At 37.3% G+C, this 6,459-nt stretch overlaps 1 annotated feature.

The window, feature by feature from the left end:
• Positions 6,108-6,157: a silencer, noted in NCBI's record as "silent region_12167". NCBI's record gives its function as "represses an Ori minimal core promoter by ATAC-STARR-seq in GM12878 lymphoblastoid cells {active_cell/tissue: GM12878}" and the evidence as "EXISTENCE:reporter gene assay evidence [ECO:0000049][PMID:35858748]".

Consider the following 6,459-nt stretch of genomic DNA (forward strand, 5'->3'; position numbering starts at 1 on the left):
TGTTGGGGGGTGCTCCTTGAAGGAAGGAGAGTATCAGAAAAAAAAATAACTATCGGGTACTGGGCTTAGTACCTGGGTGACAAAATAATCTGTACAGCAAACCCCATAACACAAGTTTACCTATGTAACAAACCTACATATATACCCCTGAACTTAAAATAAAAGTTTAAAAAATAAATTTAATGGAATTTTGTTTTTGTAACACAGATTAATTTCATAAAGATTAGGTAATGATCTATCACCATAGAATGTTTTAGGTTTGTAAAATCATGCTATTGATTTGAACTATTCATTTTTGTATAATTTTTAAAGGTAGATAAATCACCACTAGCGTAATTGACAGATTTTCCCCTTGTATATGATTTTATTCCTATGTTCAAAGATTTTGTTTACAAGCTAAAATAAAACATTTAAACTTAAAAAATAAAAATGAAAGAAAAAAATATTTTCCTGTTCTGAAAATATTGTCTGTGTTCAAAAGTGTAATAGCATAGGCCTATCTGCTAAAAACACACTGGTAAACAGTCAAACTTAATTACTTGAAATTTGGTTTCCATGTAAAATGTCAGTGTTGAATGAGCAATTGCTCTGTTGAGGGATTATATACATGTTTCCAGTCAGCAGGATGTTGTTCAAAATATGTTTCTAAAGAACATGAGTTATGATGATTTCACACTTGCCAAAAAGAATTATAATTCCTGTTTGAAAGCTACTGGAAGCTCAAATGTTTCTGACTGTGTCAGATCTGACTGGAAACAGAGCCCTTAAGTGAATGAATCATTGAACAAAATCACTTATTCATACTGACATTTCATGAGGAACCCAGCTAGACCCTTGCCTTACAGCAGCTTGCAGTATAATGAGGCACTAGGACAAATGTATATATAAAGATGAACGCTAAAAATCAGTCTGGGTTATGTACAAAATAAGTAGCATAGCCCAGTACTGCAGAGATATCTAAACTGGAGTGTGGAACAATTACTAGCACCGTTTTACCCATAAGGGAATTTCACACCTAATGGCAAAGCAAGGGTATGTTTTCTCAAGATTCCCACTGTGTAATGTAGCAGCATTTCAGTGATGCCTGCAATGCATGGCAAGATAAAATAATGGGAAGTGCAGTAAACTTATCCAATATCTGCGTACAACTTATGCGTGGGAATTAACTCCCTATGCACTCTCAGTCTATGCAGCTAATTTCCTAGGCAGCTAATTCCACTTCTAGCTCTGAAGCATATTATGTGATACAGACATGGCCAAACAGAGTATCATTTTATACGGTGCTCATTACTAACTCACAAGCAGGCCAATCATAGTAACGAGACTCACACTGTTAGAGGCATCAAGGTAGCAGACTCCTTTCCTGCTGGACTCAAACCAGAAAGATTGTGAATATGAGGCTTTTGCAGCTCTCTCATCACCACAAGGAGTCGTAGAATGAAGCCTGAGCATATCTCACATAGATGGTAATATGGAGATTAAAGTTGAGTCAAGAGATAGACAGAAGCCAAGCCCTTCCTGCTTCTGCATTTTTCAGTTACGTAAGCCAAGAAATTTCTTTCTTAAGCTTGTTTGTGTTTGAGGGGTTTTGTTTTTGTTTTTGTTTTTCTGTTTTGTTTTTGTCTCACATAACTTGTAAGTGTGGTAAATTTTATCTTAGGCAAACAGAGGCTAACTCAGGAGCTAGACGTTAAGGAATTTCCCTTTCTCTCCAATCATTGAGTCAATGCTCTTTCTTCTCAAGAACCCATGAGTCAGGTGCCTGCAGCCTCACTGGCAAAAAAGATCAGTGTGCCTGCCTTAATGGAACTTATACTATTAAAGTATATATTATACAAAGGAGTGTTGATTTACAATTGAGACAAGTGTTTCAAAAGAGAGACTGATGGTCCTATCTATAAGGACCTGAGAGAGAAGAAGTAGCCCAGTGAGGGAGGCCAGGGCAGCTTTCCTTGAAGGGTAGACCTGCAGGAGTTTAGACATTTCCTAGATGAGGAGGGGCCCTGTGAGAGAAGAGGACACAGCAAAGTCGAGGTTCTAGAGAAGGACAGTGTGGCTATGACACAGGCATCAAGGTTTGTAGGATCGTGTAGGACATCAAAAACTATGTTTAGGATTTCAACATTTTAAGAATGAAATGGAATTAATTTGATTTCTGTTTTAAAGAAATAGGTCTCATTTATGTCCCTGTTTCTGATCTTACTGTAACACCCCTGAAGCAAGGCATATGTTTGTTTCAACTAAGATTATCCAGTTCTTCATTCTATATTTGATGTAATATATATATCATATAAAATTCTGATATATTCTACATTCTATAATATATCTGATATATATATTCTATAATATATATATGAAACATATATCTTTTTCTCCTTCCTTCTTTCTTTTCTCCTTCCTTCCTTTCTTCCTTCCTTCCATTCCTTCCTCCCTCCCTCTATTCCTTCTTCCCTCCCTTTCTCCCTCCCTCTGTCTCCCCCACTGCCTCCCTCCCTCCTTCCTTCCTCTCTTTCTCCCTCCCTCCCTCTGCCCCACCCTTTTCTTTCTTTCTTTCTGTTAAATTATTTTGCAGGATATATATATATATATATATATATATATATATATATATATATATATATATATATACATACATACATATATATCTTGGTTCCATCTCAAGAAACCACTTTCTTTACTCATTCATAAGAAGCAACTCCTCATCCATTCAAGTTTTATCATGAGATTGTAGTATTTCAGTCATATCTTCAGGCTTCACTTCAAATTTCTTCTATTTTTACCACATCTGCAGTTACTTCCTCTACTGAAGTCTTGAACCCCTCAAAGTCATACATGAAGGATAGAATCAACTTCTTCCAAAATGCTGTTAATGTTGATATCTTGCTCTCCTCCCATGAATCATAAATGTTCTTAATGGCATCTAGAATGGTGACTCCTTTCCAGAAGGTTTTCAATTTACTTTACCCAGATCTATTAGAGGAATCACTACTTATGGCAGCTATAGCCTTACAAAATGTATTTCTTAAATAATAAGACTTGAAAGTAAAAATTACTCCTTGATCCATGGGTTACAGAATGTATGTTGTGTCAGCAGGCATGAAAATAACATTCATCTCCTTGTACATCTCCATCAGAGCCCTTGGATAACTGATCGCATTGTCACTGAGCAGTAATCTTTTGAAAGATACCCTTTCTGAGCAGTATGTGTTAACAATAGGCTTTAAATATTCGGTAAACCATGCCATAAACAGATGTGCTGTCATCCAGGCTTTGTTCTTCCATTTACAGAACACAGGCAGAGTAGATTTAACATAATTTTTATGGGCCTTGGGATTTTTGATATAGTAAATGAGCATTAGCTTCAACTTGAAGTCACTAGCTGCAATCACACCTACAAGACAGTCAGCCAGTTCTTTGAAGCCAGTAATTAATTTCTTCTCTTTAGATAATAGCTATAATAAGTCCTAGATGACATAATAAGTCCCAGATGGCATCTTCTTCCAATATAAGGCTGTTTCTTCTACATGGAAAATCTGTTGTTTAGTGTGGCCACCTTCCTCAATCATCTTAGCTAGATCTTCTGGATAACTTGCCATAGCTTCTACATCAGCACTCGTTGCTTCACCTTGCACTTTATGTTATGGAGATGGCTTCTTTCCTTAAACCTCATGAACCAACCTGTGCTAGCTTCAAATTTTCTTCTGCAGTTTCCTCACTTCTCTCAGCCTTCATATAATTGAAGAGAGTTGGTACCTTCTTCTGTATTAGACTTGGTTTAAGGAAATAGTATGGCTGTTTGGTCTTCCATCCAGATGATGAAAACTTTCTCAATATCAGCAATAAGGCTGTTTCACTTTATCATTTATGTGTTCACTGGAGTAGCACTTCTTATTTTCTCCAATAACGTTTCCTTTGCATTCACAACTTGGCTAACTGTTCAGCAAGAGTCCTAGTTTTCGGCCTGTCTCAGCTTTTGTCATGCCTCCCTCACTAAGCTTAATCATGTCTACCTTTTGATTTAAAGTGAAAGACATGGGACTCTACCTTTCACTTGAACGCTTGAAGGCCACTGTAGGGTTATTAATTGGCCTGATTTCAATATTGTTGTGTCTCAGGAAATAGGGAGGCCCTAGCAGAGGGAAAGAGGTGGGGAAATGGCCAGTTGGTGGAGTAGTCAGAACACACACAGTGTTATATGGTCAGGGTTCTTAGTCCCTCTAAACATTTATGATAGTACCATCAAAGATCACTTATATGGGCAGGGTTCTTAGTGCCTCTAAACAATCATGATAGTAGCATCAAAGATCACTGATCACAGATCATCATAACTGATATAATAATAATGGAAAGGTTTGAAATTTTGCAAGAATATTGCAAAATGAACAAATGCTGTTGGAAAAGTAGCACTGATAGACTTGCTGGATGCAGGGTTGCCACAAACCTTAAATTTGTAAAAAATGCAATATATGTGAAGTGCAATAAATGAAGCCCAATAAGATGAGATATTCCTATATAACATCAGGTATTCTCCCTAAGAATTCATGTGGTGTGTTTTATTTACTTGGATAAATTTTGCTTGGGTGTCTTAGGTACCTGAAGTTCCTGGACTTCCAGGTATCTAACTCTAGGCATCATCCTTTGCAGGGAGCTTTCACTGTTGTCATATTTTGGAAGTCCATATCCCACTTTTCCTACTTGTTCAAAACTACTTCTCAGGGGCTATCCCCATTTCACACTCTACTTTGCCTTGTTTCCAGATGAAATTCCTTTAGTACTTAAGCTGCGTGTCCTATTAGGCCATCATTTATACTTCATACTTTGAAAGCTTCTTCCTCTACTCCCTAAGTATGACTCAGCTTTGATTCTGGGCTTTGGATAACTGGCCTTCATTAGACAAAGTTTGCAGTATCCAACTTTAGCTTCTGATATCTGTCCCTTTATTCTGGAAACTAAAAACTGGCCCTAATTAGCAATGAATCTTACTAGTTTTTTACTAACTCTCCTCCATCTCTTAGTGATTAGTTTTGCTTATTCTCAATTTGTCACCTTTACAAGGTGAGGCATACTGGTAGATCCTAACCCTCCAGGTCTCTCCAGTTTGCTAAGAGCCAACCATGACAACCAGAATTCCTGTTACATCTAGTAGAGAGATCATTGCCAAGTTAATTTGGTGAGTCGTAGCAGACCCAACAAATTGTTGATCTAATAAAATATTAAGAGCTGTGTCAGAGATGAGTTCCAAGAGAACCCTAACAATACCAGTGATAGCATCCAGACAATAAAGACTGACATTTATTATGCAGTTAATTATGTACTTGACATTTCCCTAAGCATGTAAATCTCTATCTTATTTAACCTTACCAAAACTATGTGTGGTACATGCCATCATATTCTGTATTTCATATATGCAGAGATAAGAAAATGGTTCTGGGGGTGTGGTGGCCTAAACTAATAAAGAACCCTTCCTACCATTACTTAGAACTGTTAAACAAGATAAAATAAATTATATTGTAAATACCAAGGTGAGCTTGCAAAAAGGAATGGGAAACTTCTGGGCATTAAGAAGAAATAGGCCTTAACATTTAGGGATTTGGACTTTAAAACTCAAAAGAAACAAGAGACAAGTTAAAGATTTGAAACTGAGACCTGTATATAAACCAAGTCTCACAAAGGTCCCCACCATCAGTGAAAGGAGAACTAGAAAAAGTCTGCATATAGGTCCCCAGAAGGGAGCAAGGAAACATCTCTGCCTGAACTATTGAGTTGTGGAGCAGTGATTATCAGGGATGCCTGGTAGAAACAAATGAAAGAGCATTCTGAAAATCACTTCTATAAATAAGGCAACAAGAATTTCTTCTAAGAGAAGCAAAACCCTGATGAATTCTAAGACACACAAGGAAATAATGTGTCATAAGCAAGAGCCAGCAGATACTGTAACTGGGGGAAATTAGTACATCCAAGAATGTAGAAAACAGAATAATATGAAATAAGTTATTAAATAAATATTTTGAAAATATGTAAACACATGAATGAAGGAAGAGAAACATATGGAACATAATTACAATGAAAAAAGAGCAGGTGGATTTTAAAAAGGACCAGATAGAACAACCGAAAAAGAAAACCATAATCACTGAAAGGTTGAGTAACTTGCTTGAGGTCATTCAACTAGAAAGTGACAGAACTAGAGCTCTAAACTCAGCTTTGTCAGTCACATGCTGTATTTTCTGAACATCAAGACACACTAGCTTCCTACTGATCAAAATCTAGGCTGGGGGTAGTGGCTCACGCCTGTAATCCCACCACTTTGGGAGGCTGAGGTGGGAGACTACTCGAGCCCAGGATTTCAAGACCAGTCTGGGCAACATGGATCTCATCTCTACAAAACTTTAAAAAAATTAACCAGGCTTGGTGGCACATACCTGTGGTCCCAGCTACTCCAGAGGCTGAGGTGGGAGGAAT

The sequence above is a fragment of the Homo sapiens genome, chromosome 2 (genome assembly GCF_000001405.40).
Source record: "Homo sapiens chromosome 2, GRCh38.p14 Primary Assembly".
In the NCBI taxonomy this organism is placed as follows: domain Eukaryota; kingdom Metazoa; phylum Chordata; class Mammalia; order Primates; family Hominidae; genus Homo; species Homo sapiens.